The 27,130-nt window shown below is 45.3% G+C and overlaps 2 protein-coding genes and 2 long non-coding RNA genes across 16 annotated transcripts in view, besides 4 other annotated features; 2 read left to right on the top strand and 2 right to left on the bottom strand.

Moving 5' to 3' along the window:
* Window positions 1-17,613, bottom strand: part of USP43 (ubiquitin specific peptidase 43) — an 84,428-nt gene extending 66,815 nt beyond the window's left edge. For 4 of the 6 annotated variants that reach the window (NM_153210.5, NM_001267576.2, XM_011523639.3 and 1 more), the window contains exons 1-2: window positions 16,737-17,356; window positions 6,339-6,470 (exon numbers count right to left, since the gene is read on the bottom strand). In NM_153210.5, coding sequence (NP_694942.3) covers window positions 6,339-6,470; window positions 16,737-17,240 — 636 coding nt within the window. In that variant the 5' untranslated portion in view covers window positions 17,241-17,356. Of the gene's footprint in view, window positions 1-6,338; window positions 6,471-16,736; window positions 17,357-17,530 lie in introns of those variants that run through there. The other 2 variants (XM_017024159.3, XM_047435319.1) reach the window with 1 other exon arrangement.
* Window positions 210-709: an enhancer, noted in NCBI's record as "H3K27ac hESC enhancer chr17:9565481-9565980 (GRCh37/hg19 assembly coordinates)". NCBI's record gives its function as "activates a minimal SCP1, AML or CMV promoter by ChIP-STARR-seq in naive H9 embryonic stem cells {active_cell/tissue: H9 hESC(naive)}" and the evidence as "EXISTENCE:reporter gene assay evidence [ECO:0000049][PMID:30033119]".
* LOC107985011 (uncharacterized) lies at window positions 13,183-16,768 on the top strand. The gene is made up of 3 exons (XR_001752790.2): window positions 13,183-15,369; window positions 15,816-15,946; window positions 16,156-16,768. It is a non-coding gene; the product is annotated as an uncharacterized LOC107985011 (long non-coding RNA).
* Window positions 14,579-15,778: an enhancer, noted in NCBI's record as "BRD4-independent group 4 enhancer chr17:9550412-9551611 (GRCh37/hg19 assembly coordinates)". NCBI's record gives its function as "activates an origin of replication core promoter dependent on BRD2, P300/CBP, MED14 and CDK7 cofactors, and independent of BRD4, by STARR-seq in HCT116 cells {active_cell/tissue: HCT116}" and the evidence as "EXISTENCE:reporter gene assay evidence [ECO:0000049][PMID:35650434]".
* Window positions 16,468-17,115: an enhancer, noted in NCBI's record as "H3K27ac hESC enhancer chr17:9549075-9549722 (GRCh37/hg19 assembly coordinates)". NCBI's record gives its function as "activates a minimal SCP1, AML or CMV promoter by ChIP-STARR-seq in primed H9 embryonic stem cells {active_cell/tissue: H9 hESC(primed)}" and the evidence as "EXISTENCE:reporter gene assay evidence [ECO:0000049][PMID:30033119]".
* CFAP52 (cilia and flagella associated protein 52) overlaps window positions 17,319-27,130 on the bottom strand; it is a 68,913-nt gene continuing 59,101 nt past the window's right edge. For 5 of the 8 annotated variants that reach the window (XM_047435437.1, XM_047435439.1, XM_047435438.1 and 2 more), the window contains 2 exons: window positions 24,162-24,264; window positions 17,319-17,627 (listed from right to left, as the gene is read on the bottom strand). In XM_047435437.1, the coding sequence (XP_047291393.1) occupies window positions 17,319-17,627; window positions 24,162-24,264 (412 nt within the window). Of the gene's footprint in view, window positions 17,628-19,425; window positions 19,851-21,037; window positions 21,150-24,161; window positions 24,265-27,130 lie in introns of those variants that run through there. The other 3 variants (NM_145054.5, XM_017024227.2, NM_001080556.2) reach the window with 1 other exon arrangement.
* Window positions 17,424-17,483: a silencer, noted in NCBI's record as "silent region_8198". NCBI's record gives its function as "represses an Ori minimal core promoter by ATAC-STARR-seq in GM12878 lymphoblastoid cells {active_cell/tissue: GM12878}" and the evidence as "EXISTENCE:reporter gene assay evidence [ECO:0000049][PMID:35858748]".
* Window positions 17,446-19,043, top strand: LOC124903924 (uncharacterized). Its single transcript, XR_007065615.1, has 2 exons — window positions 17,446-17,637; window positions 18,366-19,043. It is a non-coding gene; the product is annotated as an uncharacterized LOC124903924 (long non-coding RNA).

The following is a 27,130-nucleotide window of genomic DNA, read 5'->3' as shown; positions in this document are numbered from 1 at the left end:
GCACTCCAGCCTGGGCAACAGATCAAGACTCTGCCTCAAAAAAAAAAAAAAAGAGATCATATATACAAAACACTTAGAAACATGTCTGGTACAAAGCACAGTGTAGGTGGCAGTTGTTATTACACAAGGAGGAGTACCTGATGAGTTTTGAACTCAGATGGTAGCAACATGCTCGGAGAGATGCTTTAACTTGGCAGCTACTGACTCCCAGATGAAGAAGCATAAGTTTGGAGGTTAGGACACAGATTAGGAGGCTCAAGGGTTCAGGAAACAACAGGATAAGGTAGAACAGGAGACATGAAGATGAAAAGGAGGGATGGATTCAGGACACCTGTGGACGTAGCTCACCACTCGGCCCCCAACTGTGGGAGTGGAGGAACGTGATCAACTCCAAGGATCCAGTCTGGTGCCTGGAGAACCCCCGTTCCATTCACAGAGAGGTAAAGTCAAAAGGAGACGTGGGTTTGGGATGGGCATGCTGGGTTTGAGGTGACTCAATATCCAGGCAGAGACATTCATGACAAATAGGGGAAGGGCACTTGGAGGAGGTAACTTGGATGCATAGCGGACCCTAGCCTATTTTGACTGCCCCGTATCCACTCCTCCTCCTTTGGTAGTAGCAACCCCTGTTTTGGAACCCTGAATCCAGTCCATGCATGGGGAGGGCTCTTTAATCAGGGGTCCTGCCCTCACCTACCAAGGAATAGGCCCATGACCCAAGCAAGCCACACTGAGATGCTCCTACTCTGAACGTGAATCATGAACAGAGTGGCCAAAGACTGAAAACATTTGTGTGGGCTGTGCTGTCCAGGGAAGAGAATGGAGCAGTTCCTGCTGCTGAGATACCCTCACAGCTGCCTGATTCTTGACAGTTCCAAGCTGGTCCTTCAGCTTTCCCTGTCATTGAGCGTGGGGCTCCTTGGCCTTCTCCTAAGTTCCCTTCTTGTTGGAGTCAGCTCAGGTCGGTTGCTGTTGCTTGCAACCCAAGAATTCAATGGGTTCAATGACACTGAACAGCACTGGGAGGGGCTATGGACAGGATCACCCAGGGAAGGGTATGGAGAAAGAAAACCCTGAAAGAGGCTGGAGTGAGGGGCAGCAGGGGGTCATTCACGCTGGCTCTGCTCTGTTAGCTGAATGACAGCCTCTCTCTCTGAGTCTCACTCTACATCTAACACATCAATTTCATGGAACTACCATTAAAATCACAAAGGATGACCTGCACGGTGGCTCACACCTGTAATCCCAGCACTTTGGGAGGCCAAGGTGGGAGGATTGCTTGAATCCAGGAGTTTGAAACCAGCCTGGACAACATAGTGAGACCTTGTATCCACAAAACTAAAAAATTAAGCAGGTGTGGTGGTGCATCCCTGTAGTCACAGCTACTCAGTCGGGGGCTGAGGCAGGAGGAGTGCTGGAGCCCAGGAGGTCAAGACTGCAGTGAGCTATGATCACTCCACTGCACTCCAGCCTGGGCAACAGAGTGAGGCCCTGTCTCAAAAAAAATAAATAAATAAAAATAAACAAAATCCCAAGAGATGACATGTATTGTGTATCTTCCCTGCACATAGTCAGTGTTTAATATATGTCAACTTCCTTATCTTCTCCCCAGCCTCATCCCCTACTTAATTCTGCAAGAGCGGCATTTTCTGGAAAGCAAACTGACAAAAAGATTGTGTTAGGGTTTCTAACAGGGTAATAAAAATGTGCCCTCTTTGCAGGATGAAAACATTTGAGGATCAGTAAATTAACAGAAAAGAAAGCGGCCCTTATGGTTTTTATTCCAGTTTCAAATAAATCTAGCTACATAGCTTTCCTATGTCTTAAAAACAGAAATAACCTCAAAGAGAAAAAAAATCAGAGTTTCACAGAGGACAGTGGCTTTCCTTCTAGGAAAGGGAAAATGAAGTTTCACGCCGGATAATCCCAACAGCTCTGTTCTCTACCTTCAAGCGTACACAGCCGGGCCTCCGCAGGCAGCCCAATTTTCTGAGAGCAAATTTGAGGAGAGGCTTTGACCCCAGACAGAGAAAGAGATCTTTTCTGGTTTCAATCAGGTCAAACCAAGGGTGGGGTAAGCTCCTCTCTCTAGCCAATAGCCACCCCCTGGTCTTGCCTGGCTGGTCTACTCCTAACATGCCTGGCCCCTTAAGGAACAGGAAGCAGCTGGAGAGATCAAGGCCAGGGAGCGAGGGGCAGAGGGGTCTGGAATCAGGCTGGGCCCTGTCAGTCACATAGGAGTCTGAATTTTGTTCTACGTGCTATTGGAATCCAGTGGGGGAATTTAAGCAGAAGAGGGACAAGCTCTTATTTCCTTTCTATCTAGTGGTGGTGTGGAGTATATTGCAATGGGACATATTCAAAATTGGAAAACCAATTATGGCTGCTTTTACTTGTGTCTTGAAGTTGTTAAAAAGAATTATTGGTCGGGCGTGGTGGCTCACACTTGTAATCTCAGCACTTTGGGAGGCCAAGGCAGGCGGATCACGAGGTCAGGAGTTCGAGGCCAGCCTGGCCAACATAGCGAAACCCTGTCTCTACTAAAAATACAAAAATTAGCCAGGCATGGTGGCACACGCCTGTAGTTCCAGCTACTCAGGAGGCTGAGGCAGGAGAATCTCTTGAACCCGGGAGGTGGAGGCTGTGGTGAGCCAAGATCACGCCACTGCACTCCAACCTGGGCAACACAGCAAGACTCCATCTCAAAAAAAAGAATTATTGCCAGGCCTTCTTGGCTTAAATAAACACAATATTATCTTAAAGAAAGGTCTGGGGGTGGTGCACCACAGCAAGAAACAAAGGTTCTAGAGCAGTAGCTCTCAACTGGGTTAGGGGAATGGTGATTTTGTCACCATCCCCATTCCCATCCCAAAGGACATTTGGCAATCTCTGAAGACATTTTTGGCTATCACAAATAGTCAAATGCCTAGTCTAGATGCCTACTAGACTGGCATCTAGACTGGCATCTACTAATGCTACCATGAACAGGACAGCCGTTCTCAGAAAAGAATCAAACGGCCACAAACATCCAACAGTGTTGAAGTTAAGGAACCCTGTTACAGAGTTGAGTTTGCTGGATTTGGGTCCTAGTTCTCTCACTTAATAACTGTGTGACTTGGGGCAAGTTACTTAACCTCTCGGGGATCTTCTCCACCCTTAAGCCCAATCAATGCCTTTTCCTGCTACCAAGAGATAGAAAAGGAAAATGGAAAGGCTATCTATCCCACCTACCTTACAAGTAGGAAGACCTGCCTGGTACAGCCAGGGAGAGGAGAGAGTAAAAAAAACAGGATAAGAGGGCTTTTCCTACGCAGCCAGCAGAAAGAGGTACCACCTATTTCTAAGTCTCCTCTCTCCCGCCATGGGAAATTGAGAAAGCATGAGGAAAGCTTTAGGAAAAGGAACCCAGCACACTGGCTTTGAAATAGACAAAGCCAGGTTCAATTCTATCTCCACCAAGTAGAAGTTGAGTGACCTTGAGCAACTTAACCTAAATTTCCATTAACTGTAAAATAGGAGTTATCCTTATAATAGTAAAGCATGATAACTAATTTAGTCAATCACTTCAAGAGTTTATTGTCTACTCTGTGTCAGGTAGAGAAATAAATTGTGCAAAGCATCAAGTTACACCCCTGGCACATAACAAACATTCGACAAACAGTATCTTTTTAAAAAATATATCCTTCTGATTTCAAAATGTGTTCACTATAAACTTGTGGAATACACAGTATAGTAGACATATGTTTATCTGCTCAGCATTCCTTTCTTTGGGGAAGCAAACTGTTCCATTTCTATAAAAGCTCTCCTTGGCCCACGTTCACCCCCACAGGCATGCAACCCAGCTGCACCCAATTAGAATATTCCATTCTTCTGGCCACATGCCCAGGAATGGACATGTGAACCAAGCTGAGACAATCGGACTCTTCCCTGGGCTTTTTCTGGAATCCCAAGCTCTAAAGACTACATGAGCATTGCAGAAGGCCATCTTCTTACCATCTGGGCAGAGCCAGTCTGAAAATGGAGCCAGAGACAAGGGATAGAGACATAGTCAAAGACCTGTTGACGTGATCTGAGTCCCTGGATCCAGCCCTACCTGAAGCTGGTTTGACCCTTGGACTCACAAGTTATAAAAGTCAATAAATGCCCTTTCCTTAAGTGAGACTAAGTTAAATTTCTGTCACAACGAAAAGGGGTCAGAATAAGATAAACAGGAAATCATGGTAAGTAAAAGAAATCACCCCTAATCTCAAAACCCAGAGAAACCACCATGACTTTTGAATGTGTGGTCCTCCCAGGTTTTACTGTGGTGATTGTTTGCTTCGTTTCATTTGTATGTTTTGGGAATGACTGGGGTGATTATTTTTAAAATATGAAAATAGGTTTTCAAACCAGACCCCCCTGGGCTTGAATCCTGACTCTGTCCTTTACTTAGCTGTGCGGCTTTAGAAGGTTACCCAATCTCTCTGATACATGGACCATATATAGTTATGTTTTCCTTTTCTTAAAGTTGTAAGTTGACATTTTAAGGGAGAAAAAAAATAGAAAGGTAACAGTTGGAAAACATAAAGGAAACAGACAAATTTAAGGAAAAAAAAGACTAAGCTTCCTGCACTGTTCATTCTTTATTACGCTAGAATGACGGGCTCTGAGCAAACACTGAAGGGATGGGAAGGTGATGGTTGAAAGATCTAAGCACTTTCCAAGGGTTTTTTTATTTGATTAATGAAAAGAATGAGAATAATGTTTCCAGATTTAAAACAAAACCAAAAAACTGGTAAAACAGTTCTCATGGCTGCAACTGGATCAGCCATGTGATACGTCAAAAGGTATGTGTTATTGATTAATTATCAAAGCTCATGAAACTTTTCTTCTATTACAGCAGATTATTCGTGGATGTAGTTAAAATAACTTTGCTCACTCATTGATATGGAATTATCAAAGCTCATGAAACTTCTCTTCTATTACAGCAGATTATTCACAGATGTTGTTAAAATAACTTTGCTCACTCATTGACATGGTTTGGCTCTGTGTCCCCACCCAAATCTCATCTCAAATTATAATCCCCATAATCCCCACATGTGGAGGGAGGGCCTGGTGGGAGGTGATAGGATCATGGAGGAAGTTTCCCCCATGCTGTTCTTATGATTGTGAGTGAGTTCTCCTGAGATCTGATGGTTTTATAAGGGCTGTTCCCCCTCACTCTCTCTCTTTCCTGCCACCTTGTGAAGGAGGTACGTACTTCTCCTTCCACCATGATTGTAAGTTTCCTGAGGCCTCCCCAGCCATGTGGAACTGTAAGTCAATTAAATCTCTTTCCCTTATAAATTACCCAGTCTCAGGTATGTCTCCTTTTTTTTCTTTTCTTTTTTTTTTGAGACGGAGTTTCACTATGTCACCCAGGCTGGAGTGCAACGGTGCGTTCTCAGCTCACTCCACCTCCCACATTCAAAGGATTCTCCTGCCTCAGCCTCCCGAGTAGCTGAGATTACAGGAGCATGCCACCACACCTGGCTCATTTTTATATTACTAATAGAGATGGGGTTTCGCCATCTTGGCCAGGCTGGTCTTGAACTCCTGACCTCAAGTGATCTACCTGCCTCAGCCTTCCAAAGTGCTGGGATTACAGGCGTGAGTCACCGCGCCCGGCCTCAGGTATTTCTTTATAGCAGTGTGAGAATGGATGAATGCTTTCATAATATAGTAACTTCATTCACTTTCACTTTCTTAAGTACAAGATAAAGGACTAGCATTAGAGCATAAGCCATCATTGAGCAAAGTCCATAAAGACTGCGCCTGATGTATCAATTAGCTGTGCTTATGACAAATGATTGTAGTGCTTTCCTCCTCTGAAAGGTTTGGGGTTCCATCAAAACCTGGGGATGCTAAATGCACATGTGTAAAAATCATCCATCCTGTGTCGTGAGAGGAAAAGTTTAACAGTTGGTACTCTGTAGAATACATAACTGAGAAAGCAATGGTAGAGTTCAAATGGTACCATCTGCAAATAATAAGGAACGGTACTCATGGCCTTGGATGACCACACTAATGTACGGAATACAAACCAAAGAAAAGACTTTTCTTATTTTGAGCCAAAATGAAACTCTATTCATTATATCACTGGGACAAAGAGAATGAGAAATACTGGAATGGAAGGAAACGCCTTGTGTAAAACAAACACAGCTAAGAGAAGGAAGCAGGGAACAGACTGTGGATATAGTAGCCAGACTATATAGGAATCTAAGAATCTCAATTTCAAGATTCAGTTTTGAGGAGCTGAGTCAATATTTAAAAGAAAAAAAGAAAACCCAGTACATTGTGTTGTTTTGAGAGTGACCGACCTTCTCCGACACCGGCCCTCGGGATGAACCCTCCAGGTCCTCATGTACACGATCCAGCAACCAGAGCAGGAATTCCAGGGCGTCGTGCTGGGAATTGCCTTGGAACTGAGAGCCGTACTTGGAAACTGCATTCTGAAAGGAAAAAAGGAAATCGAGAGGTGAATTTGGCCCCTTATACAACCAAATGAAGGCTCTGTGAGCACCAGGTCTACCAAGTGGTCATTATTCAGCCCTGACCTGGGATGACAGCACACAAACAGCCGGGGTAGAAATGTTCTTTCACGCCAAAGCCCGTCCTTTTGGGGCAATGTCCCCAAATGGTATGAGGGTCTCTGTATATGGGAGAAGACATTTTCTTCCCAGAGGACTGCTGATGTGTATCCTATCATTTGAAAACCCACAGAGTGGTCTCTGTTGAATATTTTGATACTGTTGACCATCTGACCCACCGAAGCTCTCTTCCTGTGACTGCTGGGGTATGATGCTCCACTAATCTTCCCTCCATTGGTCTATTCTCACGCTGTCTCTCTCTGTTCACCTAGACGGTGAACAGCCTTCTAGCCCTACTTGCTCTCCCTCGCTGATTTCATTCATTCTCATAGCTTCAACTCTTTCTTCTTTCAGAATACCCACATTTGCAGTGAAGTTGATTTCCTTAAACACCATGCATGTAGCTCCTCTACTGCCTCTTTCTAATATGTATGAAATTTAAGGATACAAACTTGTTTCTGTGGTTAGGGCATCAAATGGCTGAGCCAGCCCTTCATTCCTTTGATAAATATGCATTGAGTGCCAACCACACGCCAGGCACTATTCTAGGGACCGGGGATACAACAGTGAACAAAACAGATCATCATCTGTTTGCACTGTTAAAGATGAACATCTGTTTCTTCAACAGGTTCTTCATCTCACTGCCCTCGTGGTGTTTGCATTCCTGGTATCCCTTGCGCTGTCCTTCTGTTAAATTGTGTAGCACCTTTGTCATTTTCTGCATAAATGTACATTCCAACTTTCTAAAAGTTTATTGCAAAGAGTAATATATGCACATACTAAAAAACAATAATTCAATAAGAAAAGGATGATAATGAAGTCTTCCTTCTACCTGGCCTTCATCCCGTGGTACCCCTTCTCAGGGGACAGCCACTTTTAGCAGTTCCTTCAGCATCTCTCCAGGGACTTTTGCTATACATGTGTGAGCATGTGGGCATCTGGGTGTAAGCAAATCACTTGTCTGTGTGTCCACACATGCACATGCACACAGCACGTGATGGCCGTGGGACCCACTCTTAGACTGCAGAGCCAAGTCTCCAGTCTCGTCCCACACAGGTCTGTTCTCTGTTCATGCCTGCCAAAGGGACTGGTTTTAATAAGACTGAGGACCAGGACAATCCTTACCACTGCCAATCAAATCAGGCAGTCTGGGCTTTTTTTTTTTTTTTTTTTTTTTTTTCCTTTCTTTCTTTTAATTTTCCCTTGAGATTTAAAGGAGACTTTAGAGGCCAGGTGCAGTGGCTCATGCCTGTAATCCCAACAATTTGGGAGGCCGAGGCGGATGGATCACTTTAAGTCAGGAGTTCGACACCAGCCAAGCCAATATAGTGAAACCCTGCCTATACTACAAATACAAAAATTAGCTGGGCGTGGTGGTGCACATCTGAAACCCCAGCTACTTGGGAGACTGAGGCAGGAGAATCGCTTGAACCCGGGAGGTAGAGGTTGCAGTGAGGAGAGATTGCACCACTGTACTCCAGCCTGGGTGACACAGTGAGACTCTGTCTCAAAAAAATAAAACTAAAAATAAAGGAGATTTTAGGATGAGACAAAGCAAAAATGCAAGATTTAATTAACTGAAATGCTGGTTCTGAGTCTTTTTTTTTTTTTTTTTAAGACAGTGTTTCACTCTTGTTGCCCAGGCTAGAGTGCAATGGCATGATCTCAGCTCACTGCAATCTCCACCTATGGGTTCAAGTGATTCTCCTGCCTCAGCCTCCCAAGTAGCTGGGATTACAGGCACCTGCCACCACACCCAGCTAATGTTTGTATTTTCAGTAGAGATGAGGTTTCACCATGTTGTCCAGGCTGATCTCGAACTCCTGATTTCAGGTGATCCCGCCCGCCTCGGCTTCCCCAAGTGTGGCTCTGAGTCTTTACGTCAATCACATTAGTTTGGATTCTTCCCCCAGGCTTCTCTGCATGTTGATTCCCAAGTAGGGCTACCAGATTTAGTAAATAAAAATACAAGATGCTCAGATAGATTTGAATTTCACATAAACAATGAATATGTTTTTAGTAGAAATATGTCCCATGCAATATTTGGGACGTATTTACACTAAAAAGTTATTCAATTTTTATCTGCAATTAAAAGTCAGCTGGGCATGGTAAATATTTTTCATCTGGCAACCCTACCCCCAAACAACCCTCAAACCTATCTTCTTGTACCAACATTCTCTTCTGGGTGAGCAGCCGGCCCTTCCAACTCAAAATCTCTAAAACCAGCTCATCCTTTTAATGTAGGTGTCATCTTTCAGGTTCTCCTTCATATCGGTCAGCTGTTAAGCATTCTGGATGCTGGTTCCCAAATGTCTCTACCCTTCCCCTATAGAAGAGTCTCATTCCAACTGTTGAGTTTCACCTACAGCTGACCCAGACAACAATATCTACCTAAGGAGGGACCCAGCCCCTAGGTTCTCCCCTTGCCAACCCACTGACTTCATGGTAGACCAGACCAATTTTCCTATAGCTCAGCTGAATATTGTCATGCTCTGACTCCAAATCGTTCCTTACTCTCCTGCTCACCACCAAATAGTCCAAGCACCCTCTGTCGTTCAGCCCCAAACCATATCATTCCATGTTTCAAAGCTCCAGGTAAGTAATCCACCTAGCTGCCCCAAACACTCTTTCCTACTTCTACAGTCTAGACCTTTACTTTTTTTTTTTTTCTTTTTTTGAAATGGAGTTTTGCTCTTGTTGCCCAGCTGGAGTGCAATGGCACGACCTTGGCTCACTGCAACCTTGGTCTCCTGGGTTCAAATGATTCTCCTGCCTCAGCCCCCTGAGTAGCTGGGATTACAGGGGCCTGCCACCACACCTGGCTAATTTTTGAATTTTTAGTAAAGATGGGGTTTCGCCATGTTGGCCAGGCTGGTCTTGAACTCCTGACCTCAGGTGATCCACCCGCCTCGGCCTCCCAAAGTGCTGGGATTACAGGTGTAAGCCACTGCACTTGGCTTAGACCTTTGCTTTTGTTCTTCCTTCCATGTGAAATCCATTCCTCTCCAGTTAATCATGATGATCTTTTAAGCCTGACACTCTTCATCTTAGCCTGGCTATAGTACCTGACAACCTTTTCAGAAAGGAGGTGACAACTTCAAGAAGCAAGACAAGATAGGGCCTTAAAAATGTCCCTCTCCATAAACAGCAATTCCACTTTTGGTGATTTTGCCTTAGGAAATGAGAGATACAACCAGAGATGTCTGTATATATCAAAGTTATCTGGGTGAAAACTTATGACATACTCAGATGGCCTTAAAATTTATGACTGATGAAATACAAATGATAAAGAAAATAATAATCCGGTCATAGAAGAAAAAATGCAAAAATACATATTTGAGATTGTTTTATGTATATATTTATAGATAGAAAAATAAAAGAGCAGAAAATACATGGCAAAATAGTAGCAAATGGTTATCATAGAATAATGGGATCATGAGCAATTGTTTTATTTTCATTTGTAAATGACAAAGTTTTTTAACAGTGAACATTGTTCTTTGTCTTTTTCCAGTTATAAAGTATTTGGCAGGTATTTCTTGGAATTTTTTTTTAATAACCTATTGATGAATACAGAAGACATTCCCCTAGAAAGTCTATGGAAACAGGCCAGGGGTGGTGGCTCACACCTATAATCCCAGCATTGTGGGGAGCCAAGGCAGGCAGGAAACGAGGTCAGGAGATTGAACCCATCCTGGCTACCAAGGTGAAACCCCGTCTCTACTAAAAATACAAAAAATTAGCCGGACGTGGTGGCGGGCACCTGTAGTCCCAGCTACTCGGGAGGCTGAGACAGAAGAATCACTTGAACCCGGGAGGCGGAGCTTGCAGTGAGCCGAGATGGTGCCACTGCACTCCAGCCTGGGCAACAGAGCGAGACTCCATCTCAAAAAAAGAAGGAAAAAAAAAAAAGAAAGTCTATGGAAACATAACTAGAACTGCACAAAGCAGTTCCCAAACAGTTAACTAGCTTGGGAAGAATTAACTGTAATATTTGGTTACTTATCTCACATCTTTTTTTTCCTTTCTTTTCTTTTCTTTTTTTTTTTTTTTTTGCGCTAAGGGCTTGCTGTGTTGACCAGGCTGAACTCCTGGCCTCAAGCGGTCCTCCCATCTCGGCCTCTCAAAGTGCTAGGATTACAGGCATGAGCCACTGTGCTCAGCCCTAGATTTGGTTATTTCTCTCCTTCAACATGGCATAACTCTACCTGTATGTATGTTTTATTTCCCAAACATTGATAATTTTTAACATTTCTTATTAAAATTATTCCTAGTTATTTCATATTTCTGGTTGTTTTCTGAATACAAATCTAATTTTATATGTTCTAAATGATTATTCCTTTGATTTTCTACCTTCTATCTGGTATCATGAATGACAGTAATAAAGCTAAAATAAGGATTTCTAGCATATTTTAGCAATTTTCTTTCTAATATTTTTTACTCCATTTCCATTTTATGTCTTACTATTTTGTCCAGAACTTCCAAAACACAAGAGTGGTGAAGAAGGCATCCTTGTTTTTAAAAAGCCAAGTCTCCAGTATATCACTGTAGATCTAAAATTGATGCTTAAGCACATAAGCTAATATAAATTCCAGATGGCTAAAATTTTAATATAACCATAGAAAAGCAGGTACGCAAAATCAAATATTTATCATAATGTCTGATATAAATAAATCGAAATCTTCCAATATTGGGGTGGGAGAAGGAGACAGTTTTGAGAAAATATTTGTAGCAAATATGACAAGAACTAAGGAACTTACAGAAACATAAAAACATTGAGACCAAAGCAGAATAGATAGATGCATAAGAACATTGAGCAGATGGGCTGGGTAAAGTGGCTCACAGGTCAGGAGTTCAAGACAAGCCTGGCCAACATGGTGAAACCCTGTCTCTACTACAAATACAAAAATTAGCCAGGCATGGTGGCGCGCGCCTGTAGTCCCAGCTACTCGGAAGGCTGAGACAGGAGAATTGCTTGAACTCGGGAGGCAGAGGTTGCAGTGAGCCAAGATTGCACCACTGCCACACTCCAGCCTGGGTGACAGAGTGAGACTCTGTCTCAAATAAAAAACAAAAAAAACAAACAAAAAAAACATCAAACAGCTGATTCCAAGAGGAGACTTGCAACTAGTAAAGAAACATGGAAAAATCGTCCACCTCGCTCCTAATCAAAGAAATAAAAATAAAAAACTATTTTTGCAAGTTTAGAAGATGATGTTATTTCTTAGGATGCAAAGGCACAAGAGCAATATAATGAACTTTGGTGACTCGAGGGGAAGGGTAGGAGACGGGTGAAGGATGAAAGACTGCACGCTGGGTCCAGTGTCCATTGCTCGGGTGCACCAAAGTCTCTGAAATCACCACTAAAGAACTTATCCATGTAACCAAATACTGCCGGTTCCCCAAAAACCTATTAAAATTTTTAAAAATATGCTATTTCTTTTTGTTCAATAAATTAATAATAAGGGATGAAGATTTATTATACAGCCTGGTGATTACAGTTAATACATTATATACCTGAAAATTGCCAAGGGAATAGATCGTAAATGTTCTCACCACAAAAACATAGGTATGTTGGCCGGGCGTGGTGGCTCATACCTGTAATGAGAGGCCGAGGCAGGTGGATCACTTGGGGTCAGGCGTTTGAGACCAGCATGGCCAACATGGCGAAACCCCGTGTCTACTAAAAATACAAAAAATAGCTGGGCATGGTGGTGCATGTCTGTAATCCCAGCTACTTGGGAGGCTGAGGCAGGAGAATCGCCTGAACCCAGAAAGTGGAGGTTGCAGTGAGCCGAGATAGCGCCCCTGCACTCCAGCCTGGGCGACAGAGTGAGACTCTGTCTCCACCACCACCACAACAACAAAAACTCAATATTTAAAAGTAAGATGGTGACTACACAGGTTCACACATTTGTTAAAACTTCCTAAATTTTATGCTTATAATGGGTACATTTCACTGTATATAGTTTAGACCTCAATAAAGTTTATTTAAAAAGTAAAAATAGAAAGATAATAAAACAGTCATACTTTTGCTTTGACTATGTAATTCCATTTGTAGGAATTAAGCTTATGGGAATAATCACAGCTGAGGACAATGATTTAAATACAAGAAACTTCAATACAGTATAATACTGGAAAATGGAAACTCCATTTCCATTTTATGTCTTACTGTTTTGTCCAGAACTTACAAAACGTAAGAGTGGTGAAGAAGGCATCCTTGTTTTTAAAAAGCCATGTCTCCAGTATATCACTGTAGATCTAAAATTGATGCTTAAGCACATAAGCTAATATAAATTCCAGATGGCTAAAATTTTTAATATAACCATAGATCTCCATAAAGAATTGGTTAATTTAATAATATATTAATTGTTAAAGACTTAATTATTAATGATTGTTGTGTATTATTAAGACTAGGAAAATGTCTTGTAACAATGCTTAAATGAGAAAAGCAGGATGTAAAACTAAAATTTTCAATTGTTTGTATATACCTTGAAACGTATCAGTATATTTACAATGGTTATCTCTAGGGGTTAAAATTACAGATCTCTTTTTTTTTCTACATTTTAACTTTTTTTTTTTTTTTTTTTACAATGTGCAACATTTAATTACATCATTAGAAAAGCACAGAAAATCAAATATTGCGTATTCTCACCTATAAGGGGGAGCTAAATCTTGGGTACACATGGACATAAGGAAGGGAACAATAGACACTGAGAACCGCAGAAGGAAGGAGGGAGGCAGGGGACAAGGGCCGAAAACCTTCCTGTTGAGCACTATGTTCACTATCTGGGTGACAGGGCCAAGAGAAGCTCAAACCTCAGCAACACACAATACACCCTTATAACAAACCTGCACATGTACCCACTGAATCTAAAATAAAAATATAAAATTTAAAAAAAAGAAAGAGAAGAAAAGAATTCTAGGTAATACCACGGACAGGACTTTTCTTTCTGTTTTTCAGAGGGAGTCTCGCTCTGTCACCCAGGCCAGAGTACAGTGGCACGATCTCGGCTCACTGCAACCTCCGCCTCCCAGGTTCAAGCAATTCGCCTGTCTCAGCCTCCTGAGTAGCTGGGACTACAGGCACACGCCACCACGCCCGGCTAATTTTTGTATTTTTAGTAGAGACAGGGTTTCACCATATTGGTCAGAAGGCTGAGGTAGGAGGATCGCTTGAGCCCAGGAATTGAAAACTGTAGTGAGCTATGATGACACCACTATACTCCAGCCTGGGTGACAGAGTGACACTCTCTCTTAAAGAGAGAGAGAGGGAAAGGAAGGAAGGAAGAAAAGAAGGGAGGGAGGGAGAGAGAGAGAGAGAGAGAGGGAGAGAGACAGAAAGAGTGGGAGAGAGAGAGAGAAAGAAAAAGAAAGAAAGAGGAAGGAAGGAAGGAAAAGAGAGAGAGAAAGAGAAACAGAAAGAGAAAGGAAAAGACAAGACTCCTTAAGAAAACCTTGTGTGGTGTGTCTGCAACTAATTCTCCAGCCTTTCCTCCCCAGCCAAGTGGGCTTTTATTCATTTATTGAACTGAAGGTCTCTCGGCCCCACCTCCTTCCCTGGTTGGCATTCCAGTTCCCAGGTCCTGGAATGCACTCTCCCATCTTCCCAAGCCCTTCATTGACACCTAATCCTTCAAAATTCAACTCAGCGGTTGGTTACCTCTCCAGGGAAGCTTTCCCTGCCCACCCCACAGGATCTCCCCCAATCCAATCACATTTTCCTGCTGTAACTGTCATAGCACCTTGTATTTGTCCTTTCTAACATGTTTCTGTTCCAATCATGTGCCTGTGTGATTATTTCATTAACATCCATTTCTACCTCTAGACCATAAGCTCCTGGAGAGCAGCCCCAGAATCTGGGTTTGTACTCATCACTCATCATGCATTCCATGCATTCCTAGTCTACTCTCTGGACATTCAATAAATATTTGTTGAACGAATGTTTCCCCATCTGTAAAATAAGAAGAGCTCACCTAGATTTCAATCCATAATATTTAAAGCCTGGATTCTGGGATCCTCCACTCCTCCCTCCAAAGCTGACTACCCAAAAATCCCAGGAAATTCCAGATTGTATCTCCCTCATTAACATATTACAAACTTGATTATCCTTCAATTCCCTGAGGCTTACTGGGAGCTCCCAGGCCCTGGGGATTTGACAGCGGGAGAGAGATAGGGAATTCTGGTGAGTCATTGAGGGTGATTACTAATTTCGGAGTTTTTTGTTTTGTTTTGCTTTGCTTTTTTGAGACGGAGTCTCGCTCTGTTGCCCAGGCTGGAGTGCAGTGGCGCAATCTCGGCTCACTGCAAGCTCCGCCTCCCAGGTTCACGCCATTCTCCTGCCCCAGCCTCCCCAGTAGCTGGGACTACAGGCGCCCGCCACCACGTCCGGCTAATTTTTTTTTTTTTTTTTTTTTTTGGATTTTTAGTAAAGACGGGGTTTCACCGTGTTAGCCAGGATGGTCTCGCTCTCCTGACCTCGTGATCCACCCGCCTCGGCCTCCCAAAGTGCTGGGATTACAGGCGTGAGCCACCGCGCTCGGCCAATTTCGAAGTGTTTTCAAACTACTGCAGCCCTCTCCCATTGCTGTGGTAACTGGATGGAAATGCATCTAGCAAGAGAAAATGTACATAAAGATTACCTCCCTCCCTGCTCTAGGTTTCTGCAGGTGAGAAGGTGTCGTGATAGAATAATGAACATTTCCTGTGGGGCTGGCACTGTGTTCTACATAGAACTCATTTAATACAACAACCGTATAACGAGGTAAGTACCATTATGGTTCTATATTAAAGATGAAGAAAGTTGCGGCACAGAGAGATCTGGTAACTTGCTCAAGGTCACAAAACTCCAGAGACCTTGCTCTTAACCACTATACTATACTGCCTCTTTCTTAAAAAGCAAATGTCACCAAAAAGAGACATTTAGTGACAACCATTTGACCCACTGGCTGCTGCAGAACAGTGCTTCACTAATGGAGGCAGGAGGGAGGAAGGTGGGGGTTGGCATCTCATGGGTCACATGGCAAACACTGCTTTCTCGGGCTGAAACTCAAGAGCGGTGATGCTTGTGGAATGAACACTGACAGGTTTCCCCCTCCCCCAAGAACAACAATCACTAGTCTGTAGGGAGCTTCAGTTCTCTGCCCAGAGCTGCGGGTTTCTTCTTCTTTTTTTTTCTTTTTTTTCTTTTTTTTTTTTTTTTTTTTGCAGGAAGCAAGCCATGTGCATCAATTATCAGGAACGCTTTAATCCAACTGGGACCCCAAACAAACACCCCGTTTTAATCCCGGGTGAAGTGATACAAACAATTTACAAAGCCTCACGACCCGGCAGCAACCCGAGTAAGTAGACCGTGATCTTGCAGACAATAAAATGCAAGCCCGTGCTCATACATTGTAGGGGATTGAATGCGCCTTAAACAAAAGGATGCTATCTCCAAAATAGCACGCTCACTGCCTTTGCTGGGCACTCAGCACGGTACCTGGCCTGTAGGTTGTCAGATTCCACTGGGCTTAGAATAAAATCCAAACTCTTTACCGTTGCCTCCTAGGTCTTACGTGATCTGGCGAAACTCATCTGCCTCCTAAGCTCCAACGCCACTGCTTTTCTTTCCCTGTCTCCAGCACTCAGCTCCTTCGGGTCTATGGCAATTGTACTTGCTGTTCCTCCTGCCTGGATTAGTCCTACAGCTTGCCCTGACTGCATCCTTCTCATCATTCAGATCTCAACGCAAGCATCACCTCCTTCCTCTGAGGCCTTGGCCTTCAACATCCCATTCCCTACCCCACATCATTCCAGACTGGAAGCTCTAGAGCTGGCATTAGAACACTGTCTGGCCCACAAGCCTTCAATACTTCAACAAATGCTTGTTGAATCCAAAAACGCTGATTACCCTTCAATCTGCCAGCTCACCCCACTCCCTCTCAAAATACCTAGGAGAATTAATTTACAAAGAAAACATAAGCAAGCGACAGCGTAACACATCGACTCAAAACAAAGCCGGTAATCCGGGGCTGAACTGGTCAACGGCATTTAAAGAAGGCCCCAAGAAAACCCTTTCCTGATCGTGCACACACTTTTCAAGAGGCGAAACCAGGGGGACAGGGCGGTCGGCGGCGCAGCGCTGCCTACCTTGAACTCCGCGGAAAGTTGGGGCGTGTATTCGCGAGTCCAGAGCGCGCGCACCAGCGCCGCCAGCTGCTCGGTGACCTCGGCGCGGCCCGGAGCCGCCCGGTAGCGCCCCAGCGCCAGGAACTCGGCCAGCAGGTCGGTGTTGCTGAGACACTGCACCACCGCGTTCATGAAACAGGTGTTGCCGTGGTTCTTCAAGCCCTGAGCGCCCGGCGGCCGCGCCCCATCGCCGGCGGGGAGCTGGAGCTGGGGCTGGGGTCCGGGCGGGCGTTCCTCCCCGGGGCTCCCGGGGGCCGCTGGAACTGGGCCCGGGGCGCAGGCGAAGCCCCCCTCACCGTCGCCATCACAGTGTCCCGGCTGGGGCCGGGGCGGTGAGTCCCCGGGGCGTGAGCGGCTGCCCAGCGCCAGCAGGAAGCGGCTGAACAGGCGGCGCAGGGAGCGGCGGCGGCGGGGCCGGGGCGCGAGCGGTCCCCCTCCTGCCGCGTCCCCGGGGCCCAGGTCCATGGCTGCCGCCGGCGCAGCTCCAGGCGCGGAGCCCCCGGGCGCGAGGCGGACGAGCGGCCAGCAGGCCCTACAGCTTCTCTAAGGCTCCTGGTGCCGGCTACCTGCGGGCCAGGTGTGCGGGGACGGGGCGGAGGCGGAGCCAAGGGCGGGGCAGCCCCGCCCCGCGCGGGAATCCGGCGGCACGACCAGCCCCCTCCAGGGCAGCGCCGGGCCACCCCTACCCCTGCCTGGTGCCGCCCCCGCTGCGCTGACTGGGAGTCTTCGTGGTCGGATTCCCCACCCTTCCTTACCTCGTAAACCGACAGACCTGGGTTTCGCCGCTGCTCCTGTTCCTCGAGCAGCCTTCAAGCAGTGGAAATTACGGAGAAATGAACATTCTGAAAGCGCCTAGTAAATGGTAAAGGCCTGGCTACTGCAGGAAGAAAAGGGCAAGGCAGGCATCTCCAGAGCACAGCCTCGGGCGTGGTGAGAGGCGCGCGCTGGGCGCTGTGTGGGGGTGGGGAGCGCTTTTGTGCACCGCTGGTTCCTCCGCAGGCTCAGGTGTGTGCGGACAGGTGTCGCCACCTCCTTCCAGACCGTCTGCCCCTTGGGGGGAGGCAGAGTCTGTGCCTGCACCCGCCAACCCGGGACCTGAACTGGGAGCCACGTGTTGCCCTGTGAAAAAAGCCCCCGAGTGGTTGTGGTTTGCTTTTTTACACCACAGATTGGGTTAGAATCATTTTCCAAAAACTTGCAAGACTTGATCACCCTTGCTTTAATCGGCAAGGAAGGGGGCTCAGAGAGGTTATCGCAACGTAGGGAGGCCGCCCGATCCGTAAGCAGGGAAACCGGAACTCGACCTGGATCTATGGACTGCCAAGTTCAGGCCCTTTCCAGCCTCAGTATTTGCTAACCAGGAAGTTTTCAGGCTCTCAGGCGCGCCCCCTACGCGGTTTCTGGTTCACTCCTTAACGCACGATCCTTGTTGAATGATTGCCCAATCAGAATTAGTTTGGCCTTGCCCCGCCCTTGATTCCCTGGGTAACCCTGGGCCCCTCCCCCACCCCTCACTTTATCCCATGCAACTGTCAGGTTTATAATTAATCAGGCAAGGTCTTGCAAAATGACTTTCTCGTCAATTTCTAGCTCAGGAAGAGATCAGCACCATGTGAGATGCAGTATTCTAACGCTCTGAAATGTTACTTGTTGTTTAATAAGTGATCATCATTTATTAAATATTCTTGATCCTGGCCGGGCGCGGTGGCTCACGCCTGTAATCCCAGCACCTTGGGAGGCCGAGACGGGCGGATCACCTGAGGTCAGGAGTTCAAGACCAGCCTGGCCAACATGGTGAAACCCCGTCTCGACTAAAAATACAAAATTAGCCAGGCGTGGTGGCGCATGCCTGTAATCCTAGCTACTCAGGAGGCTGAGGCAGGAGAATCGCTTGATTCAGTGAGCCGAGATCGCGCCATTGCACTCCAGCCGGGCGACAAGAGCTAAATTGCGACAAGAGCTAAATTCCGTCTCAAAAAACAAACAAACAAACAAAAAACTTGATCTTTCAAACCGGGTTACAGCAGTTACCTCATGCAAAAAAGCAGCCTTACTTAAAGGATAAATAACATGCTTAAAACATCAGACGGTACTGTGAATCGGAGACTTGCGTTCTGGAAAATGCCATTATTTACCCCTCTCTGGAAAAAGATACCCGGCTGGGTGATTAATACACAAGGACACAAGGTCCATTTCATCACCCTTCTGGTGGAAAGCACAGAAGAAAGATGTAATGGCCAACTCCAATAAAGCATCTCTGTAATTTCATCTTTCTTTGGTAATTGTCCTGAGATCCCCAACACCACACATTTTCTTTGAGAAAGCATGCATATTTCTCTCTACCCTGTCAGGAATTCTGCCGATGCTTTAGTACATTAGTCACTTAATTCTCACAATAACCTTTTGAGCAGGAACTTACTCTTGCTTGACAAAAGAGAAAATTGTGGCTCAGAGAATTTTTAAGAAGCCTGCCCAAGATCTGGATTTAAATCTGAGTCTAGTCCCATATAGCTTGACCAATGAAATGGCAATTAAGAAGGAAATTCACCTCACCTTATTTTTAGAGGATAATAGCAATGCTGTCTGTGCACAGATCATGAGGAAGGTCTGTGGGTTTTGCAGAGTTGCAGAAAACAAATTATAACAGAAAACCAACAACTAAGAATTTATTCAAAATGTTAAAAGTTCTAATTAGAGTCTGCACAAATTATTCTTGAACATACTTCAATTTTAATATGCAATTTAAGAATATAAAATGCATTCTATAAAGAAAAAGAGAAAAATTGACTCAAGAACAAAAACAGAGCTGTGAGAAATGAAGACTAGTGTTGGAGTTATCTAAACTCAGTCTTCAACAGGACTGCGTGCAACGCCAAGGCTCAGAGACATCTCATCAGCTTCAGGAGGTATATGGGTACTTCCATCGCAAAATGGCTCCATCGGCACTTACACTAACAATATATTGATTTCCTGGACTTATGCGGATGCGTGTGATGTTGCCACTGTGTCCCACCCCAACGTGAGTCACTTCACCCTCATTATAATCCCAAACTTTGACCAGATGGTCATTTCCACCTGAAAAAGATAAACACGTATATGGCATTGCTGCAATAGGAGAGAGAGAAACAGCCCTGATTTCAAATAACTGGATCATTTTCAACATGGTCCCCATGTATCTGTCTTTATAATAACACTTTTACTTGATTATAAAAATCTATCTGTTGCAGTAAATTTGAAGAGGAGGGGGAAATACAAAGAGGTAAAATCACATTTCATCCCACTACCCAGAAATAACCACTAGTAATATCTTGGCTTAGTTCCTTCCAGTCTTTTCTCTATAAGTATACTGGTATACATATACATCATATATATGATTGGGATCACACTGTGTCTAGTTTGATACCTGCTTTGTAGTCAATGTACTTGTGAAACTTAATTCATTTCATGCATTTATTTATTTTTTACTTATTTATTTATTGAGACGGACTGTCTGTCACTCAGGCTGGAGTGGAGTGGCATGATCTCAGCTCACTGCAGCCTCCGCCTCCCAGGCTCAAGCAATTCTCCTGTCTCAGCCTCCCAAGTAGCTGGGATTATAGGCGTGCACCACCACGCCCGGCTAATTTTTGTGTTTTTAGTAGACACAGGGTTTCACCATGTTGGCCAGGCTGGTCTCAAACTCCTGACCCCAGGTGATCCACCTGCCTTGGCCTCCCAAAGTGCTAGGATTACAGGCATGAGCCACCACGCCTGGCCGCATTTATTTGTTAATATCCTGATGAATCAAAGAGCTTGGCAGGAAATGATAATGATGTTCCAATCGGCATGTTGTGTGGTAAATGCCCCTTTGAAATATTGGTTAATTCATTTGTTTTGGTGGGAAGGGCATCGCATCATGCAATAATAAAGTGGAATTAAAAGACTGGCTTTTAAGACTTTAGAAGTATGCTGGACAGCCCAGGCCATTTAAAGGCCCCATTTCTATTATCAATGCCCACCAAAAATAGCAAGCCTAGCAATCTAAGTCTTGGCTTTTATTTGTGCTCTTAAGGCTCTTGTGCAAATGTTTCCTCTCATTGAAATGTGACTTCTGGATTTTTCTTTCTCAGCCACATTGGCTGCAGTATTGGTTGGAATCTGATTCTAACCAAGTTGCCTTGAGACCCTTTTGTTGTCTTTTCCAATTGCCTCTAGCCTGGGAGTTCCTTCCATGTCCTCGTCTAAATAAGCCAGGCTTGGCTTTTTCCTATCCCAGGACTAACCTGTGACAAAGTGCACCCCTTCCTGTGTGATATCCATGCCATTTATCGACCCAGACAGGGAACCTTCCAATTCTCTGATTACTGTCCCATCAAATACTTCCCAGTAAGCAATCTGGAATTCAGGAAAGAAGCATTAAGCAGGACTCAGCTCAGGAGAGTCATCCATGCACATGCTAACAAAAGATGGCTCTACTTTATATAGAAGGGAGCAAAAATACACCACGGGATGATACTGGCTGAAATTATAAATAGGCTACAGCAGGGGGTGGCAAAACCATTTTAATATTTTTAGTATTGGTTTTAAATTTGCATTCTATTTAAAGACATGTTGATGTGCTGATAAACCTGGATTAAGACAGAAAGGGCTTTTGATAAGACTAAGAAGATTCAGCCTGAAGCAAGCTGTAAAAGAAAGAACAGCCTCTGCATCCACAGCTAAGCTTCAGGCCTGGAGGGAGGAAAAGCATTTTCTTCCTTCTCACTGGGGGATGAGCACTCCCCACTCCCCAGAGTTCTAGAGACTGGGCTGTACAGGCACCCTCCCACTGGGACTGCGCCCTCCCTCTTCCTCACACCACCCTTATTCCCAACTTTCCCTTCTGCTCCAAAGCACTGAAATATTCCACAGGGTAGAGTTTAAAGAGGAACTGGTAACCTTGGTTCCCTGTTGGGGAGCAGAACTACCTTAGGGATGGAGAGACAGGTGCCTAAAGGAGGGTGATTTTTTTCCTGAATATACTGCCTTTGTACCTTAAACTTTGTGAATGCACAATCTATTCAAGATTTAAATTTCCTTCTTAGGAAAGAATGCTTCTGTTTATGATAGCAAAGACAGGGAATCAACCTAAATGCCCATCAATGATAGACTGCATAAAGAAAATGCGATACGGCCAGCTGGGTGCAGCGGCTCACACCTATAATCCCAGCACTTTGGGAAGCCGAGTTGGGCCCGTTGCTTGAGGTCAGGAATGCGAGACCAGCCTGGGCAATATGGTGAAACCCTGTCTGTACTAAAAATACAAAAATTAGCTGGATGTGGTGGCACACACCTGTAGTGCCAGCTACTTGGGAGGGTGAGGCATGAGAATCACTTGTACCCAGGAGGTGAAAGTTGTAGGAGGTTGCAGTGAGCTGAGATTATGCCACTGCACTCCAGCCTGGGTGACAAAGTGAGACTCTGTCTCCAAAAAAAACAGAATAAACTTAAGAAAATGTGGCAGATATATACCACGGAATACTATGCAGCCATGAAAAGGAACAAGATCATGTCCTTTGCCGGGACATGGATGGAGTTGGGAGCCATTATCCTCAGCAAACTAACGCAGGAACAGAAAACCAAACACCACATGTTCTCACTTACAAGTGGAAGCTGAAGGATGAAAAGAGATGGACACGTGGGGAAACAACACACTCTGGGGCACCTGTCGGGGGGTGGTGGGTGGGGGGAGGAAGAGCATCAGGAAGAATAGCTAATGCATGCAGGGCTTAATACCGAGGTGATGGGATGATCCGTACAGCAAACCACCACGGCACATGTTTACCTATGGAACAAACCTGCACATCCTGCACATGTACCCCTGAACTTAAAGTTGAAAAAAAAAAAAAAAAAAAGAGTGCTTGACCAGGAATCAGGAGTGCAAACCTGCACGTGCATTTCATTTGTTTCTCATTGTTTCATGTCGGAAACGTGCTGTGTTCCAGTCACTCTGCCAGGAGTCTGTATTCCTCTGAATCTAGCTAGACATTATGCATACTATTTCTTGTTAATTTTTTTCTTTTGCTTTGTAATGTCTGTTGATGCTTGATCATGTTAACAAAAAAGTTCTGATTTCATAGTAAACGCCTAAAGAGATAGAAAACCATGCCAGAACCCATGTTTCTCAGGATTCACACCCACAGAAGTAGTTGGAACTTGACTGCCTGCCTTCCCAGCCAAAGAAGCCAAATTGACACTCTCCTGGGCAGCCCCAGTAGGGCTCCATCTTACTGGAGTGTCCTCTGCCAGAGATGCCCTTCCTTGAGGTCTAGGCATTGACTGAGTCCTTCTGTCATTCAGGCCTCACTCAGATGCTGCTCCTTAAGGAGGCCTTCACCCACCACCCCAGCTGAAGGAGCTTTCCCCCGCCCGCCAGTATCATGTCACCAGTTCTATCTCCTTTCTCAGTCCTTTCACCATCTCATCTCTTGTTCACTTGTTATTCATTGTCCATTCATGGATTGGTTCATGTGTGTATTAGCCAATTCCATCCCCTCCTACCCAAAATAAATTAGGGAAGTAAGGTTCATGAGAGCAGGGACCCCTTGCTTGCTCCAAGGGTGAACATTCCCCCAAACAGAAGGATGAACCTTCACCTTCCTCTTTAGCTGGGAAATCTGTACCATATGTAGAATTTTTTTTTTTTTTTAAGAGAGAGTCTTGCTCTGTCACCCAGACTGGAGTGCAGTGGTGCAATCTTGGCTCGCCGCAACCTCCACTTCCCAGGTTCAAGCAATTCTCATGCCTCAGCCTCTTGAGTAGCTGAGATTACAGGCACCCGCTACCACACCCTACTAATTTTTTGTATTTTTTGTAGAGATGGGGTTTCACCATGTTGGCTAGGCTGGTCTCGAACTCCTGACCTCAGGTGATCCACCCGCCTCAGCCTCACAAAGTGCTGGAATTACAGGCATCAGCCACCACGCTTGGCTCCGTGTGTAGATTTTTAATGTATTGATGAAGTACAGTGCTGAGAGATGAGGAGCTCTATTGCCTTTCTGTCTGAATTTAGTCAAAGTGATAACCGGTTTGGGCACAGCAATTCTACTCCAGTCTCAGAAATTCCCTAATAATAAAAACCAATCTATTGAGTACCTACTATGTGCCAGACCCCCTGCTATAAGCACCATGAGCAAGCATGACTTTAATCCTTACTCTATGAGGTCAGTGGTACCATTTCCACTTAACAGGTGGGGAAGTGAAGACACTGGAAGGTGATATGGCCTTTCCAAAGTGGCATGGCTGATTGATGACAGACCACCATTGGAAACAAGGTGGTTTGACTCCAGAGCCCGCACCCTCCACCACAACGCCTCACTGCTTTTCTCTTGCGCTGGAAAGATCTCATCTCTCACTGGGAGGACTCACCTTTCTGTCTGTTCCGCTGGTGATGATCTGGAACTCCTCAGGGTGATAGCACACACACTGGAATAAGGTGTTGGCTAGTATCATCTGATTCCTCCTGAGACGCCTGGAAAGTAGATTCAAAAGCTGTGAAAGTCGACTTTCTCTTCCCTAGGAAATTTATTCACTATTCAAGCTGGATTTGGTGCAAGCTGGGATTTGGGTTGGTTTATCTCCATGCCAAACATCTCATACTGCTCAGCAAAGTGGTGCTTGTATTTCTTCAAAACAGACTTCAGGTCACCCTGTCCTCTCTACTTCTGTGTACTCCGGTTGGCCTATCAGTGACCACCAGAGGACAATGGGAAGGGCCCTTTCCTAAAGACAGAGCACGAAACTCAATGAGAACCCTTAAGTTCCAGGGAAGAAGAAGCAGAAGAGGCTGAACTCACAGCCAACCTGCTGCCTCCCACACAATGTACTTGAGTCCTGAGGCCACCATTTGGAAGTGGAGCTCCCTACAGTCTGAGAAGCAGAATGTGGGGAAGGGTATTTTATTTTGTTTATGTTTTAATCATCGATGTATCTTTAATTCACAAATAAAAGCTGTAGCAAGATGTCATGTACACATTTGTACACAGGTTTGGACGTACCATATCATGCACAACCCTCGGAAAGCACGAGCCTGTCACGTGGGGATGTCCCAAAAGCTGGCAGGCTCAACCCTTGTCTGCATATGGTAAGAAGTCCCTCCCAAGACCCACCCCCTACCCTGCCCAGGGTGCCCCCAAGAGGGAGCTGGCCTCCCGCAACTGAAGAGAGCCCGGCCTGGGAAGGGTATTTTTAAAATGGGTATTATGGGCCGAGTGCAGCAGCTCACGCCTACAATCCCAGCACTTGTGGGAGGCCAAGGTGGGCAGATCACCTGAGGTCAGGAGATTGAGACCAGCCTGGCCAACATGGTGAAACCCCGTCTCTACTAAAAATACAGAAATTAGCCAGGCGTGGTGGCGCATGCCTGTAATCCCAGCTATTTGGGAGGTTGAGGCAAGAGAAGCACTTGAACCCGGGAGGCAGAGGCTGCAGTGAGCCAAGATCATGCCACTGCAGCACGCCTGGCCAGGATCTGCATTTTAAACCAGCATTTCAGTTGATTTTTATGTGCATAATAGAACCCCTGCCTTAGATACTGTACCAAGAAATATGTAAATATCGCTTCTCCTTCCACAGACAATGTGGTGGGTGGCCATCTCACAGGCCAGGCTTTCCTGGCTAAAAAATGCACCTTCTGCACAGTTTCTTCTCATTATGGAAGTTTTCAAACGTGGTATCTGAGCTGAGCATTTTTAAAGATTTTGGCACAAGAATTCCTGCTACACAACGGAACAGCTTTAAGGATTTGAGGCAGTCACAAAGCATCCATAGAAATAAGTTCAGACATGTCCTTCTAGTTCTATATTTTCCCAGGAGGAAGGTCAGGTATAGCCTAACACTTCCTACAAGTGTGGTCCTTGAACCAGCACTCTCAGTTGGCAGCTTCTTAGAAATGCAGAATCTCAGGTACCATGCTAAATTTAATGAATCAAAATCGACATTTGTAACAAGATCCCCAGGAGACACACAGGGCTAGAAGACAAAAGCTTGCTTTGTCGGGTTTTTTTTTGCTTTTTTGTTTGTTTGTTTGCTTTTTTGATACGAAGTCTCACTCTGTGGCCCAGGCTGGAGTGCAGTGGTGCGATCTCAGCTCACTGCAACCTCCGCCTCCCGGGTTCAAGCGATTCTCCTGCCTCAGCCTCCTGAGTAGCTGGGATAACAGGCACGCGCCACCACGCCCAGCTACTTTTTGTATTTTTAGTAGAGACGGGCTTTCACCATGTTGGTCAGGCTGGGCTCAAACTCCTGACCTCTTGATCCTCCCACCTCGGCCTCCCAAAGTGCTGGGGTTACAGGCGGGAGCCACCGCGCCCAGCAGTGCTTTGTGTTTTTTAATGTATTAAGTACACATTGAGTTCTCATTCCCATCAAGCGTATCTCATGTTCTTTGTCGTGCGTGCCTCCTTCCTCCCATCTTTGCACTTATCCTCGTCTCTCGTATGCAGTGATATAGAGGCAGTGCCTCGTAGGAGGGGTAGAGGGGTGATAGGTGGGTGGGGAGAGGGGTGGAGGAATGGCATCCGATTCTAAAATAAAAACACAGCAAAAATGCTTATAGTCAAAAATTCAAAAAGCCACTGTTCAAAAATCCTTTGAGTTACTCCTACAATAAAGTTCACAGGCTTTGGTCTAGTTAGTTTGAAGTTAGTCATTCTATGGGGGTGTGATACGCTCGGAGCATAAGAGGTCCCCGGGAATGCAGCCAACCGAGGGGAAAGGCAAATGTATGTCCCACCAGCATCCCTCCCCTCCATGGGAAGTTCATTCTGGGCTTCACCTGACTAACTGGAATGATAAGAGGCACTGCCTGCATTAGTTATTTTTCTTTCTCTTTCTTTCTTTCTTTCTTTCTTTCTTTCTTTCTTTCTTTCTTTCTTTCTTTCTTTCTTTCTTTCTTTCTTTTTTTTGAGACAGAGTTTCACTCTTGTTGCCCAGGCCAGAGTGCAGTGGCATGATCTCAGTTCACTGCAACCTCCGCATCCTGGGTTCAAGCGACTCTCCTGCCTCAGCCTCCCAAGTAGCTGGGATTACAGGCACCTGCCGCCACGCCCAGCTAACTTTTTTTATTTTTAGTAGAGAAGGGGTTTCACCATGTTGGCCAGGCTGGTCTCGAACTCCTGACCTCAGGTGATCTGCCCACCTCAGCCTCCCAAAGTGCTGGGATTACAGGCAGAAGCCACCACGCCCGACCTTGCATTCGTTATTTTTCTTGCCCCCTTTCATTTGGGACACTTAGGGTTGAATTCGTGTAAGTTAAACCATGCTTCACTGTGTGGACACAGAAAGCTATTTCCCTATCTGCCCAGAAACTTCTAACATTCAGTTCTTCCTGGAAATTG

This window comes from Homo sapiens, chromosome 17 (genome assembly GCF_000001405.40).
Source record: "Homo sapiens chromosome 17, GRCh38.p14 Primary Assembly".
Lineage (NCBI taxonomy): Eukaryota > Metazoa > Chordata > Mammalia > Primates > Hominidae > Homo > Homo sapiens.
Note: the sequence above shows the minus strand (reverse complement) of the source record. Positions and strands in the feature narration are given on the sequence as shown.